Raw genomic sequence first — 14,777 nt, 5'->3', positions numbered from 1 at the left:
GCGAAGATCATGCCACACTGTACTCTGGCCTAGGTGACAGAGCAAGACTGTCTCAAGCGTAAGCTGAATATGGGGGTGGGGTGGGGGTGGGCACAGCACAAGTGGACATGCCTTTCAGGCCCAGGATGGCGCATGCAAAGGCCCAGAGGCAGAAACATGTTTGGTATGTTGAAGAGCAGAACAAAGACAAGCATGGCAGGAGGGCAGGAGCTAAAGCAGTGGTGTGGAAGGAGGCCAAGAGGCGAGGATTGTTTGTGGCCAGGGTTGGGTGTTTGGGTCTTAAGTGTTCAGGAAAACCATTGCAGAATCAGGCAGAAGGATGCAGTGATGGTTCCTCCCGTGTGGAAGATGAATGTAGATCCCATGGCTTCTGTTTGCTTCGTGAAGTAGGAGAGAAAATCTGGGAGAGGGAAGGTCGGGATAAAGTGTATAAAAAAGGGGTCTTTTGAAATAGTCATTTTGGACAGTGGGGGAAAGGAACATCATATTAAAAAGTGTGATCAGTTTCCAGGCAGTTTGTGGGCTGGAAAATTGTGATTGTGAAGTTAAAGTGAGGCCAGTTAGCATGGCGTGTGTTTCCCAGCGACACTGGGTATAGATCTAAGGTCAGCGGACAGCTGGTGCCACCCGGCTGTGGAGACCCCAGCAAGCACAGCAGGAGGGGCAGCGGGTCAGTGCCCCGATGCAGCTCAGGGGGTGCAGGAGTGGAGAGCGGGTGAAGTCAGCTGCAGGAGGGGTGGTGCCTGCAGGAGATTCGGGAGCCGGAGCAGTTGTGGTGACAGTGTGGCTGCAGGAGTGGTGGCAGGGGTCGGGGAGAGGAGGTCATGGGGGTGGCAGGGCCGAGGGGCTGAGAGGACCATCAGTCAGCCCCACAGGGCGAAGTCACCGTGAGTGGTGATGGGGAGGAAGCCAGTGAGCCAAGGGTCCTCTGTGAATCAGGGAGTGACCTGGCAGTTGACAGGTGACATGAGGACATGGCAGATTAAAGTGATTTGAACCTGAGTTACGGTATTTAGGGAAGGAAGAGAAACTGTGTGGAAGCAGCGTGGGAGCACAGGGAGCTTCCCCTTGTCCGGGCCGGAGGCCAAGCCCTGAGAGCAGCCATCCCTGCAGAGGGGCTGCCAGAGAGGGCATCGGGCAGGCAGCCAGAGCCAGTCAGGGCAAGGCCGGGGAAGGGAGGGGACCACGGGGCATCACAAAAGACACAGGACGGACAAACCAGGCTTCAGAGGGGAGGGGACGGTGGCTAGGGGGAAAAGGCCTGAACAGAGGAGGTAGCCAACCCAGGTACGCTAGGAGGCGGGGGCCCCAGAGTACTCCCCTCTGCAGCGATGGTCAGGAGGCCCACGAGGTGGCTGCGGGGCAGGGGGGCTTTTTCTCTGCCCTGGCGTGGCCATTAGCGGGTGGGAGAAGCAGGCTGAGCTGGGGCACCAGGCATGAAGACTCGGTTGTCTGGCTCAGCTGCTGATGGAGGAGTGCCCCAGAAGCAGAAGTGGGGCTGAGGGTCCCGTGGGAAGTGCCCTGCAGAGCACAGGCTCCTGCCCGGCTCCTCGCCTGCCTCCGCCCTCTGCTCACTGGCTAGCTCTCTGTTCTCTTCATTCCAGGCACCGCCACCCCCACCTTTGGTCAGAACACCCCTGCGCCTGGAGTGGGCACATCGGGCAGCAGCCTCTCCTTTGGGGCATCTTCAGCACCCGCCCAAGGCTTTGTTGGTGTTGGACCGTTCGGTAAGCAGCAAGCCACCCTGTGGCCCTGCTCGTCTGTCTGAGGAGAGGTTGGGTGGGGTGGCAGGCTCCTGGCCCTCTGAGGCCCCGTGAAGATCAGGTTCAGCACAGGAAAGACATTTCGGGTTAGGAGTACAGCACAGCCCAGGGATGGGAGTTGGATGGCAGAGATCAGAGAGGAGCTGTCCGGGGTGGAAGTTTGCCTCCCATGGGAAGCCAGGTAAAAATGGATTCGTGGGCCTCGCTCTGAGACTCTGGGAGTTTGCATTTCAGGAGGCTCCTCCCGTACAGTGTTTCTGACGCAGCGGGGAAAGCCCTATTGAGGCACCCTGTGTTTTATTACTGGCCTGGCCTTCCAGAGATTTGGGCACCCAGAGCCAGAGTCTCAGGTAGCAGCTGCCCTGATGAGGTCTTGTTGAATCTTTCCAGGATCGGCGGCCCCTTCATTTTCCATTGGTGCGGGATCCAAGACCCCAGGGGCTCGACAGCGACTGCAGGCCCGAAGGCAGCACACCCGCAAAAAGTAGCCTTTGTCCCCTGTCCCTGTTCCCCCCACCCCTTCCCTAAATCTGGACCTTGGCACGTGCTAGAAAGAGCCTTGGACCCTTCCAGCTGCGTAAAGCAAACCTACCCCGGATCTCTGGCTTCAGCCGCCAGGGGGCAGTGGCAGCCCTGGGGCCCTTTCCCTTCTGGAGGAAGCACAAGCCTCAGGGAAGGGGAAGCAGGATGCGGAGGGCCAAAGCCCGGGACCTCTACTTGAACAGTTCCACTGGGGAGGCTGGAGAACTAAGGACCTGTACATAGTGTCCGCTGCCCTGACTCCCGCTTAGCGCACCCTTAGGCAGGCGCCCCTTCCACCTTTCCCCGAGAGCCGTCGTCGCTGGAGGGGGCAGGGTCCAGCCCGCCTGGATCGGTGGTGTGCACCTGATGGGATTTGGGAAATGGGTTATCCCTAAAGCTTTATCTTGCTTGGCTTAGCTGTGAGAAGTGGTTCTCTTCCTCTGGTCCCTTCTGGGGACTCTGTTTCCCCATTTCTTGCTGCTGTGTCCCTCACCGGTTCCTTGCAGGATTCCCTCCTTTTTAAATGCCCTTGAATCTAGCTTTGCCTTGGAGACCCCAGTGGGTGCTGCTCCTGCCGTTTTCTTCCTGCCAAGCCTGAATCAATGTTTCATCTCCAACCCTCTGCCAGTTTGGCCCCTCAGAGCTTGGTGGCTCAAGACTGTTAGCCTGGCAGAGCCAGGGGTGAAGGGAGAAGCTCTTGGAGCAGGCAGGATGCCCACTGCTGCTTCAGCTGCCTCCTCGCCCAGCTACCCTTTGGCCCCATTGGGCCCTCGTCTGCCTCTCCAGGATTGTATGTTTCAAGCCTTGTCCTGTGTTCCTTTGTCTGACGCTCTGTGTATTGCTCTTTGAATCGAGTTTGGAGGAAGAGTTGAGTTGTATGAGTGGCGGCATGTTGGTAGTGCCGGACTTCCTGTTTCAAGTTTTCTGGGGCCTCGCTAATTGAATGTGGAAAGTAGCACCACTTGACGGCTACAAGTGCCGACTCCTGAATTTTCCCATGGTGTTCTGACTTCAAGGGCTGGCAGCCAGGGAGAATGGGCCCAGGGGAAGCAAAGACCTCTTCCCTCTGCGGTTTCTGTCCCACTTAACTGACCTCACTGGAGGCTACGTCACCCAAAGTAGATGTTAGAAAACCTAAATTAATGAACCATATTTTTAAAATCCTATTTTTCCCAAACAGGGCCCTCTGCAGCCCATCCTTTCCTTCCGTCCTTCTGAAACCACATACCCCAGGCCCAAGCGCCTTGCTGTCACGCCCAACCTCTTTGGGAGAAGTATGAATGCGTGTGTCTAAATTAAAAGAAAAAAATATTTAAACGTTTTTTAACAAAAATTTATTTTTGTATTTAAGCTAAATTGCCTTTTAAATTCCTTCAAGCTTGGTTCATTGAGGTGGTTAAGTATAAATGCTATTAACTAGGAATTAGCTGTATAGTTAAGTTATGCCTGTGCAAAGAAGAGGCTCAAATGCTGTCCCCGGCAGCTTTCCTGGGGGACTAGAGCTCCTTCTGGCCATGTTATATGAAATGTAATTCTTATTTTATAAATAATGTGATGTAGATGTAACCGGTGCCCCCTCCCCGTTGTGACTGAGGGCGAGTGTTATACCTGGCTGCGTGTGCAGCTGAGGAGGGAGTGAACCTCAAGCCTAAATACCTGTTAGGATTGGAGGGTCTGGGTGGGCCTGGGCCTAGCAATCAAGCTTCTACCTGTACCTTATGTAAGGTAGACCCTCCTAGTGTCAGTACCTGAGCTTGTTTACCTCAGTTCCGCAGGCAGGACAGCCGGTCCGGGAACCCTGAGTGAGAGTGAGTGTGGATGTGTACAGTACACACACTGGACGGCAGCGGGAGGCTGGGACTTTCCATTACAAATAGAGACTTCATTCCTGTTGAGTCTAGTTGGAATTTTTAGTATGAATGTGAGATTTTTCTCCTGCTTGTGACATTAAGAATAAAAAACTGTGATCTATCGTAGAGTACGTTCTGCATTTTATTTCTGCAGGCAACACTTTTGCTCACCAGCAAGAACACAGCCCGAGGAAGGGACCCAATAACCTTTCAAAATGCAAACTGCTGCCTGCGGTGAGGGCCCAGGGTCCTCCACGGAGAGGACAGGCATCTTCCTTTCCCACCAGGAAGGAGTCAGCCTGGAGCCTCTGCTATGTGCAAGGCGGTGTGCAAGCACCGGCTGCGGCTCTTTGCTGTCTCTTCTTTCTCTTTGGGGCTGGGCTGGGTGTGCGTTCTGGTGCTGATGCTTTGGCCTGTGAGGCTGAGCTAGAGAAGTGTAGATGTTAGATGTGCCAGTACCATCCTGCGCCTCCCAAGCATGCCCCCACTCACTCACATCGGCATCTCGACCCGTTCAATTACAGCAACGAAGAAGCCACCGCTAAGCGTGGTCTTGGGGGAAGCCCGGAGGCAGTGCTCGGCACCCGGGAACGTGCTCAGGCCTCGGTGGGGCCGGGCAGGCAGGGCGGGAGCTAGCCTGCAAGAGAAACAGCCCCAATGCTGGGTAAGAGAGCAGTTCACCCCATCCCCCCCTCCACGACCCTGGCGCCCGCCCTGTACCTGAAGGCGCCCGGGTTCTGCTGCAGCGCATCTGGTACCATGTCTTCATTCTCCTCCTGGCAGAGGGAGCACATGGAGTAGACGAGCCGCTGCAGGGAAGGGAAAGTGAGCGCGTGGCACAGGGCTCGCTGCTGGAACCCTGCCAGGGCATGCAGACGCACCGGGCTAGGTGTCCCTGCCCCGGGATCCTCCAGCTGTCTGCTCGGCATACCTAAGGAAAAGCGTGTCTCGGTTACACAGCTTCACAGGCTGCCTCAGTCCTGAAATCCTCGCTCCTGAAATCCTTGCCTCACAGAGGAGAACTTTTGCTCCAGGGTCCCAAGCCCATTAAAGTGTCAGAACTAAGACCAAAACAGATGACTCCAGGTCTAAGCTGCTGTGGACCTCCGAGTCCCTCAGCCACGCCTTCTCACCATCTCACCCGAGCCACTGCAGGAAGGATCCAGCAGGACATAGTGGACCTCACGATAGCGCGGATCTAAGGGGGAGACCGCCAGGAAGTCCTCCTCAGCCAGCTCACAGCAGGAGACGCCAACCCAGGCCAGCAGCGTGGCCATGGATGCCAGCCGCTTGGCATCCAGGTCAAAGGCAAAGATCTTCCTAGGGCAGAGGGCAGAGCAGGGGTGAGCTGAGCATGCATGGAGCAGCTAAGGGCCTGTCACAGCTGACACAGACAACCAGAACATGCAGGTTAAGCCAGGACACACAATATTGAAACGGCCTATATTTAAAGGGCCCAGGGTCAGAGGTAACTGGCCTGGGGTCTCTGCCCCAAGGGCTAAGGGATCCACATCTCACACCTGCAGTGGGGAAAGCTTAGCTTGGGGCAAATACCGTGAACTACTTTGGTACAGCAGGAAAGAGTTAAGCGAAAGTCATCCTTTCAGCCTTTATTACCCACTGAAAGGCACAAAATCAAACCCCATGTCCTCCTCCTCCTCCTCCTGTGGCACTCACCCTTGGTTCTTCAGAAGAGCAGCCAAGTGACTGGTCTTATTGCCTGGGGCGGCACAGGCATCGATGACATGGGAGCCTGGCAGGGGTCCAGCAGCATGGCTGGGAGACAGCTGGCCTGGCAGGCAGAACACAGGGGCCGGGTAAACAGAGACCCCAGGCTAGGCCCTTCCCGTGCCTACACATTCTTCCCTTTTCTATTCCTCTTGCCTACCCTGTCCTGCAGAATGAGGTGTCCGGCCCGGTACAGTGGGTGTTCATGCAGATCTGTCTGGGCGGGAAACACCAGCAGCTCCGGCATCAAGGAGTCCAGGAGAAAATGCTTCCCCTTGAGGGCTTGTAAGTCATCAAGGCTGCCAGGGAAGAACCATTCATTCATTTCCTGAATTTCTCCCTGCCAGGCCCTATTTCAACGGTCCATTCATGCAACAAATGTTACCACAGCTATGGAGAAATCAACAGGGTGATAAGGGAATCCGGGATCCGCAGTTGAGGGAATGGGTTGTCAAGCCAGACTGATGGGTCAGGAGCCCCCTCTACTGTTTACCAGCAGTGGGAGCCTGGGCAAGTGATTCAATCTCAAGCCCCACTGGCATCTCTGTAAAATAGTAGGTGTGAGGATTCAATGAGCCAATATATCCAAGATACTTACGTGCCACAATTTAATAAATGTTAGCTATTCCTGTTGAAGCATAACCTTGGAGAAAGGTTACTTTACAGGGGGGTGAGGAGTGGGGAAGTGAGAGCTGAGCTCATTCTTGATGGATGAGGAGTTAGTCATGTGAGGCGCTTAGGTTAAAACTACATTCACTATAACTCAGTAAAGCAGTCCCGCCCACTCTCCGACCCATGCAGAAATAGGCCTAGAGAGTCACATGTCTCAGTTCAGAAATCTATCGAAGTGGCAGAGCTGGAATTCAAACACAAGCAGCCGTTCTCTGCTATTCCACCCTGGTGTCCAAGCAACATGGTAGGGCAGAAGGAAGAGGATCTTACAAAGAGTAAGGGAAAGGGAGAGGGGCAGAGGCTGCTTCTCAGAGCCACCAAAGGACAAAATAAGACAGGTGTGAGCCCAGTGGAGGAGGCACGGGGCAGAGACCAGCCACTGTTGCTGGCACGCTGGTGCACGTAGCACTGTGGCAGATGGACCTGGAGAGGAAGCAGGAGGGACAGCACAATGGAGCCAAGAAAGGACTTAGCATGGCCGGGCGCGGTGGTTCATGCCTGTAATCCCAGCATTTTGGGAGGCCAAGGTGGGCAGATCACCTGAGGTCAGGAGTTTGAGACCAGCCTGGCCAACATGGAGAAATCCCGTCTCTACTAAAAATACAAAATTAGCCAGGCATGGTGCTGCATGCCTGCAATCCTGTAGGGAAAAGAAAGAGAGATCAGACTGTTACTGTGTCTGTGTAGAAAGGGAAGACATAAGAAATTCCATTTTGACCTGTACCTTGAACAATTGGTTGGCTGAGATGCTGTTAATTTGTGACTTTGCCCCAAATTTGAGCTCACAAAAACATGTGTTGTATGGAATCAAGGTTTAAAGGATCTAGGGCTGTGCAGGACATGCCTTGTTAATAAAACGTTTACAAGCAGTATGCTTGGTAAAAGTCTTCGCCGTTCTCTAGTCTCAATAAACCAGAGGCACAATGTACTGTGAAAAGCTGCAGGGACCTCTGCCCTGGAAAGCCAGGTATTGTCCAAGGTTCTCCCCATGTGATAGTCTGAAATATAGCCTCATGGGATGAGAGGCTGTGCCCCAGCCCGACACCCGTAAAGGGTCTGTGCTGAGGTGGATTAGTAAAAGAGGAAAGCCTTGCAGTTGAGATAGAGGAAGGGCACTGTCTCCTGCCTGCCCCTGGGAACTGAATGTCTCGGTATAAAACCCGATTGTACATTTGTTCAATTCTGAGATAGGAGAAAAACCACCCTATGGCGGGAGGCGAGACATGTTGGCAGCAATGCTGCCTTGTTATGCTTTACTCCACAGATGTTTGGGCGGAGGGAAACATAAATCTGGCCTACGTGCACATCCAGGCATAGTACCTCCCTTTGAACTTAATTATGACACAGATTCCTTTGCTCACATGTTTTTTTGCTGACCTTCTCCTTATTATCACCCTGCTCTCCTACCGCATTCCTTGTGCTGAGATAATGAAAATAATAATCAATAAAAACTGAGGGAACTCGGAGACCAGTGCTGGTGCAGGTCCTTGGTATGCTAAGTGCCAGTCTCCTGGGCCCACTGTTGTTTCTCTATACTTTGTCTCTGTGTCTTATTTCTTTTCTCAGTCTCTTGTCCCACCTGATGAGATATCCCACAGATGTGGAGGGGCAGGCCACCCCTTCATAATCCCAGCTACTCAGAAGGCTGAAGCAGGAGAATCGCTTGAACCCAGGAGGCAGAGGTTGCGGTGAGCCGAGATCGCGCCAGGGCACTCCATCCAGCCTGGGAAACAAGAGCAAAACTCTCTCAAAAAAAAAAAAAAAAAAAAAAGGCTTAGCAGAGGAGTAATGCATCAGATCTGCCTTTAGAGCTTCCTACAGTCAACCTCAAGGAAAATGCAGTGAGACAGTCTGGAAGCAGAGAGACCAGTCTGGGAAGTTCTTGTGGTCATCCCAATAAGAAATGAGTGCTTAACCTAGGCAGTGTCCGGGGGAATTAAGAGAAAGGAGTGGAGGCCGGGCACTGTGGCTCACGCCTGTAATCCCAGCACTGTGGGAGGCCAAGATGGGCAGATCACCTGACGTCAGGAGTTTGAGACCAGCCTGGTCAACATGGTGAAACCTCATCTCTACTAAAAATACAATAATTAGCTGGACATGGTGGTGGGAGCCTCTAATCCCAGCTACGCAGGAGGCTGAGGAAGGAGCATTGCATGAACCTTGGAGGTAGTGAACCAAGATCATGCCACTGCACTCCAGCCTCGGTGAGAGTGACAGAGCGAGACTCAGTCCTAAAAAAAAAAAAAAAAAAGGAGTGGAGCTGAGAAAGATGCTCAAGGTGGAGGAGTAAATGATTGGAGGGAGGGGAAGGAAGCACCTAGGATGACTCGGTTTCTGGCTTGACCAAATGGGTGGAAAACGGTGACATCTGTTAGATTAAACTGGGGATGTACTAAGTGTAAAGTCTGAGAGGAAAGATGAATGCAGCGACTGTGGCATCTGTGGTGCATTCATGTGAACCTAAGGAGGGAAGAATGCAAAAGGGAAGTCTACACTGGGCGGTGAGAATCACCAGGTGGGAGGCAGGAGCTAAAGTTAGAGAAAAAACGGAGAGCTCCGGAAGAATGTAGGATGGGGCTCCTAGGAGTTCGATGTTTAAGGGATGCGAGGAAAACAAACCTTGGAGATGGAGAAACTGCTGGAAAGGTAGGAACAAAGCCCAGAGAGCAAAGTCACAACTATCCAACCACTTCTCTTCCCAGTACCCCAGACACCTCCCTAGATGAGGACAGCCAGGGCTCTAAGCTCTCACCTGGAAGCCCGACCCTGATAGGAGAAACCTTGTCTCTTGAAATAACTACATAAACGGAGCAGGTCTTGAGAGTGTTCACACGCACAAATCGAGGCAGCTGGGAGGCTAGGTAGGACGCAATGAGCAGTGAGTAGGCAGGAGCAAAGTTCCCCACCTCCCCCGCCCCTCAACTCCTTCCAGCTCACCTGGACCAGGCCTGGATCCCACTTCCAACAGGTCCTCATGCCAGCTCACACCCCGAAGAACCTTGAGCCGAGCCAACTCAACACCTCGCCTGGTGCCGTCCCAACAGAGCCTTCCATTGGCCCCCACCCCCTCGAAAGCCCTTTCCCAACAACTCATACACTAGCACCTGGGGATGAGGGATCAAAGACAGAAACGCCCTAAGCAAGAAGTATGAATGCCTTAGAACTAACTCTAATAGAGCCCGGGCACTGGAATGGCTAAAGAGATCACCTGACTAGATGGTTACAGATAAAGGTGGGGTACCTTACTCAAGACCACACCAGAAATTAACTACACAACAGGATCGGAACCTGGCGTCTCGCTTCCCAGCCTTAGACCCTTTCCCCACAGATGTTCACCAGTAGACCTCTGCACCCAGCTTCTTGCCAACATTACCCTTTCGTGGGTGTGGGTTTGGGGTTTTTGTTTTTTTTTAGAATGGGGTCTAGATCTGTCGCCCAGGCTGAAGTGCAGTGGCCACATCACAGCTCACTGCAGCTTCGAACTCCTGGGCTCAAGTGATCCTCCCCCCTCAGCCTTCCGAGTAGCTGGGACCACAGGTGCGCGCCGCCACGCCCGACTTCCTTACTGTCTCCGCTACTACTACTTTGTACTTCGGTTATTTAATCCTTCAAAACACTCGAAGTTAAAGCATTTTCATCCCATCTCAATTCGTAACCCAGGGAAGGTCTGCTCATACTCATTTCAGGTGAGCGACTTGCTCCAGTCCCGCCGTGCACGGCAGCGGGGCTGAAACCAGATGACAAAGCGCTGACCGTCGGGGTTCACTTCCCCGCCCCGCCCCTACCCTTGGCCAGGTGCGGCTGCAGCTTCTTCGCACTGAGGAGGCCGGCGCTGGAGATCACGGCATCCAGCACGGCGGAGTAGCGCTGCGTTTCGCACACCAGCGCGTACAGCTGCTTCACGTTCTGTGTGGCCGAGGGAGACAAGCTGGGTCGGGGGCTCCCCCGGCCCTCCTCGCCGGGCCCCACCTCCCGACCCCATCCGGGCCCGTCCCACCCCACCCCGGGTTCCTCACCCCCCACCCCTACTTGTGGCGCCCGGGCCCGCTACCTGGAAGTTGCTGGAGTACACCAGCCCCTTGATAGAGCCCTGGCGGCTCTCCACGCCGGCCAGCACGCCTGCCACCGCAGCGTACAGCCCCATGTTCCCGCGCGCCTTTACGGCTCTGTCGCAAAGCGCACCCGGCTCTGCCCCCGCCCGGACTTCCGGGGTCCAAGGGCATGCCCTTCCGGGACCGGAAGTGCCGGTCGAAGTCCCCCTGCAGGGTGTGTGTGTGATCGCGCACCTGCCGGGCTAGGGAGTGCGACGCTGCGGGCGCACCTGCTGGGGTAGGGAATGCGACGCTGCGAGCCCGTTTCGCCACTTCTTCTCCAGTTCTTCAGTCTTTGTCAATCTGATGGATAAATAATGGGATTTTACTGCTGTTTAACCGCAGTTATTGCGTTGAATATGTTCACATGTGTATTGGTCATTTCATATATATATGTGTGTGTATATATATATGTGTGTATGTGTGTGTATATATATATATATATTTTTTTTTTTCAGACAAAAAGACTCACTCTGTCGCGCAGTGTCGCGATCTTGGCTCACTGCAACCTCCGCCTCCCAGGTTCAAGCAATTCTCCTGCCTCACCCTCTGGAGTAGCTAGGACTACAGGCCCGTGCCACCACGCCCGGCTAATTTTTGTATTTTTAGTAGAGACGGGGTTTCACCATGTTGGCCAGGCTGGCCTCGAACTCCTGACCTTAGGTGATCTGCCCACCTCGGCCTCCCAAAGTTTTGGGATTACAGGCGTGAGCCCCCACGCTGGCCATAATTATGTGTCTCTGTTTATTGTCTTATCTTCCTCTGCCATGTGTCCTCCAATGGCTGTGTTCTCAGGGAGGATTTTTCTGTGTAATGGCAGAAAAGGTCCTAGCAACTCCAGGTCCACAATGTGGTTCATGATACCTGCCACTCACCCTGCACCAGTAACCACATTAGTCCCAGAGCCAAGCAAGAAAGCACGTGGGGTATTTGGGTACCTGAAATGGGCCGGTTTGGCCAAATTAAATGATGTAGTTATGATCCAGGCCTCAAAGCCACAATAACGGTTTTGTTTTTGCTTTTGATGAGGTCCCACTCCGTCACCCAGGCTGGAGTGCAGTGGCACCGTCATAGCTCACTGCAGCCTCGAACTCCAGGGCTCAAGTGATCCTCCCACTTCACCCTCCAAGTAGCTGGGACTACAGACGTGCACCACCACACCCAGCTAATTTTATCTTTTGTAGAAATGCGGTCTCACCATGTTGCCCATGGATGGTCTCGAACTCCTGGCCTAAAGTGATCTTCCCACCTCGGCTTCCCAAAGCAGTGATTACAGGCATGAACCACTGTGCCCAGCGAGGATTTTGTTCTTTTATCTTGAGATAAATGGTAGTCCTCTTAAGGGTTTTAAGTCATGGAGTGCTGTGTTCATGTATACTTCTTTAAAGATCAGTCTGGCCAGGTGCGGTGGCTCACACCTGTAATCCTAGCACTTTGGGAGGCCAAGGCAGGTGGATCACTTGAGGTCAGGAGTTTGAGACCAGCCTGGCCAACATGACAAAACCCGTCTCTACTAAAAATACAAAGATTAGCCAGGCATTGTGGCAGACACCTGTAATCTCAGCTACTTGGGAGGCTGAGGCAGAATCGTTTGAACCTGGGAGGCGGAGGTTGCAGTAAGCTGAGATTGTGCCACCGCACTCCAGCCTGGGGGATAGAGCAAGCTTCTTTCCCCAAAAAATAAATAAATAAATAAATAATCAGTCTGGTTACAGTGTGGGGATATAGGATGGAGGGGACAGAGTTGAGGCAGGGAGAGACCAATGGGGGTCATGGCAGTCACCTAAACAAGAACTGGTGGCCTGGACTGAGTTGGTGGCAGTGGAGTTCGGTTGAAGTTGGCAGTGTGACCGCTAAGTTAAATCCACAGAACTTGCTCAGGAAAAAGGTCAGGTCGAGAATAACTCATAGGTTTTCAGTTTGGGCAGTTGACACAATGCTGCTGTGTCTTTTGGTAGGATGGGGAAACCTGGGGTGGTGGAGTGAACAACGGCCACCCAGAGAGAGCAGGTCCTAATTCCTAGAGCCTGGAAATGTCACCTTCTATGGAAGAGATCTGTAGGAGTGATCAGGGGAAGGATTTGGAGAGAAGGTTATCCTGGATTATCTGGGCAGGTCCTGCATGGCATCACAAGTATCCCTATAAGAGAGAGGCAGAGGAAGGCCTCTCTTATAGGGAGAAGCGCAGTGGGTCACACCTGTAATCCCAGCACTTTGGGAGACTGAGGCTGGTGGATCCCTTGAGCCCAGGAGTTCACAACCAGCCTAGCCAACATGGTGAAACCACGTCTCTACTAAAAACACAAAAATTTGCTGAGTGCACGCCTGTAATCCCAGCTACTCAGGGGGCTAAGTTAAGGGAATTGCTTGAACCTGGGAAGTGGCGGTTGCAGTGAGCCGAGATCACACCACTGCACTCCAGCCTGGGCAACAGAGTGAGACTCTGTCTCAAAAAACAAAAAATAAGAGAGAAGCAGAGGAAGATTAGACCGGCACATACAGAAAAGGCCACGTGAAGATGGAGGCAGAGATTGGAATGATGCGGTCACAGGCCAGGAAACACCAGGGCATGGCAGCCACCACCTGAAGCTGAAGAGGAAAGGGGCAGGTTTTCCCCGACAGTCTCCAGAGGGAGCGCGGCCTTGCCGTCATCGTGATCTTGGACATCTGGCCTTCAGAACCATGAGAGATTAAATTTGTTTGAAGCCACCAAGTTTGTGGTCATTTGTTACAGTAGCCACAGGACACCACAGCCACAGGATAAATCTCAGGGATGGGGGAGTAGGAAGATCATGAGCGCGGTTTTGGACATGCCCTTGACGTCCAGGCGGAGCTGCTGAATGGCTGGAGCGCTACTGGATGTGGCCTGTAAGGGACGGGTCTCCCGGAGAGGGAACTTCTGAGTCATCCCTGTGGAAGTGATGACTGGAGCTATGGGTGTGGAGGGGTAGACAGCCAGAAGAGGAGCCTGGAGGCCCTCAGACCATAAGTGGTGAGGACGAGAGGCTGAATCCTCAAAGGAGACCGAGGAGAGGCAGGAGGAGAGGCAGGGCTGTGGGGAGGCTGAGGGTTGCTGTTCACCCCTGCTAGGCTCCCTCATGCCCTCTCACTGGTCTGTGCACCCAGTTTGACTTCCAGTGGCCAGAGCCAGCATCTTGGTTAGAAGGCTACCCCGGAGCTTCCAGGACCCACTTAGCCTATGAGTATCGTGAATCAAAGGGTTATGGGAGGCTAAGCACAGTGGCTCACACCTATAATCCCAACACTTTGGGAGGCCAAGGTGGGAGGATTGCTTGAGGCCCAGACCAGCCTGGGTAACATAGCAAGATCCCATCTCTACTAAAAATTTAAATATTAGCTGGGTATGGTAGCAGACACTTGTCGTCCCAGCTACTCAGGAGGCTGAGGCAGGAGGATCACTTGAGCCTGGGAGGTCAAGGCTGCAGTGAGCTACAGTTGCACCACTGCGCTCCAGCCTGGGTGACAGAGCAAGATCCTGTCTCTAAAAATAAAGACTCAAGGCTGGGCACGGTGGCTCACGCCTGTAATCCCAGCACTTTGGGAGGCCGAGGCAGGCGAATCATTTGAGGTCAGGAGTTCGAGACCAGCATGGTCAACATGGCAAAACCCCATCTATATTAAAAATAAAAAAATTAGCTGAGCATGGGGTGCACACCTGTAATCCCAGCTACTCGGGAGGCTGAGGCAGGAGATCACTTGAACCTGAGAGGTGTAGGTTGCAGTGAGCTGAGATCGTGCCACTGCACTCCAGCCTGGGTGACAGAGCGAGACTCCATCTCAAAAAAAAAAAAAAAAAAAGCAGACTTGAGCATAAAGTGCTGGGATTATAGGCATGAGCCACCATGCCCGGACTTTTTTTTTTCTTGTTTTCTTTTCTTTTTTTTTTGAGATGGAGTCTTGCTCTGTCACCCAGGCTGGAGTGCAGTGGAGCAATCTCAGCTCACTGCAACCTCCACCTCCCAGGTTCAAGAGATTCTCGTGCCTCAGCCTCCCGAGTAGCTGGGATTACAGGTATGTGCCACCACACCCAGCTAATTTTTGTATTTTTCATAGAGACAGGGTTTCACCATGTTGGCCAGGCTGGTCTTGATCTCCTGACCTCAAGTCATCCTTCTGCCTTGGCCTTCCAA

The 14,777-nt window shown here is 53.3% G+C and overlaps 1 protein-coding gene, 1 long non-coding RNA gene and 1 pseudogene across 4 annotated transcripts in view, besides 1 other annotated feature; 2 read left to right on the top strand and 1 right to left on the bottom strand.

Annotated features, from left to right (window-relative positions):
- POM121C (POM121 transmembrane nucleoporin C) overlaps positions 1-4,261 on the top strand; it is a 69,514-nt gene extending 65,253 nt beyond the window's left edge. The window contains exons 14-15 of the mRNA NM_001099415.3: positions 1,605-1,727; positions 2,154-4,261. Of these exons, the coding sequence (NP_001092885.2) occupies positions 1,605-1,727; positions 2,154-2,251 (221 nt within the window). The 3' untranslated portion in view covers positions 2,252-4,261. The remainder of the gene's footprint in view (positions 1-1,604; positions 1,728-2,153) is intronic.
- NSUN5P1 (NSUN5 pseudogene 1) lies at positions 4,255-10,725 on the bottom strand (annotated as a pseudogene). 2 transcript variants are annotated; one of them, NR_033322.3, is made up of 11 exons: positions 10,587-10,725; positions 10,321-10,441; positions 9,473-9,639; positions 9,288-9,392; positions 8,115-8,258; positions 6,024-6,162; positions 5,813-5,927; positions 5,269-5,455; positions 4,856-5,066; positions 4,632-4,772; positions 4,255-4,561 (listed from the first exon to the last, which is right to left on the bottom strand). The product of NR_033322.3 is annotated as an NSUN5 pseudogene 1, transcript variant 2 (transcript). The 2 variants fall into 2 exon arrangements; NR_104013.1 differs by lacking the exon at positions 9,473-9,639 and having other exon boundaries at positions 4,255-4,772; positions 4,856-5,455.
- Positions 9,972-10,912: an enhancer, noted in NCBI's record as "H3K27ac-H3K4me1 hESC enhancer chr7:75039418-75040358 (GRCh37/hg19 assembly coordinates)". NCBI's record gives its function as "activates a minimal SCP1, AML or CMV promoter by ChIP-STARR-seq in primed H9 embryonic stem cells {active_cell/tissue: H9 hESC(primed)}" and the evidence as "EXISTENCE:reporter gene assay evidence [ECO:0000049][PMID:30033119]".
- On the top strand, positions 10,694-13,339 carry LOC124901676 (uncharacterized). Its single transcript, XR_007060389.1, has 2 exons — positions 10,694-10,864; positions 11,085-13,339. It is a non-coding gene; the product is annotated as an uncharacterized LOC124901676 (long non-coding RNA).
- The last annotated feature ends 1,438 nt before the right edge of the window (positions 13,340-14,777 follow it).

The sequence above is a fragment of the Homo sapiens genome, chromosome 7 (genome assembly GCF_000001405.40).
Source record: "Homo sapiens chromosome 7, GRCh38.p14 Primary Assembly".
Lineage (NCBI taxonomy): Eukaryota > Metazoa > Chordata > Mammalia > Primates > Hominidae > Homo > Homo sapiens.
Note: the sequence above shows the minus strand (reverse complement) of the source record. Positions and strands in the feature narration are given on the sequence as shown.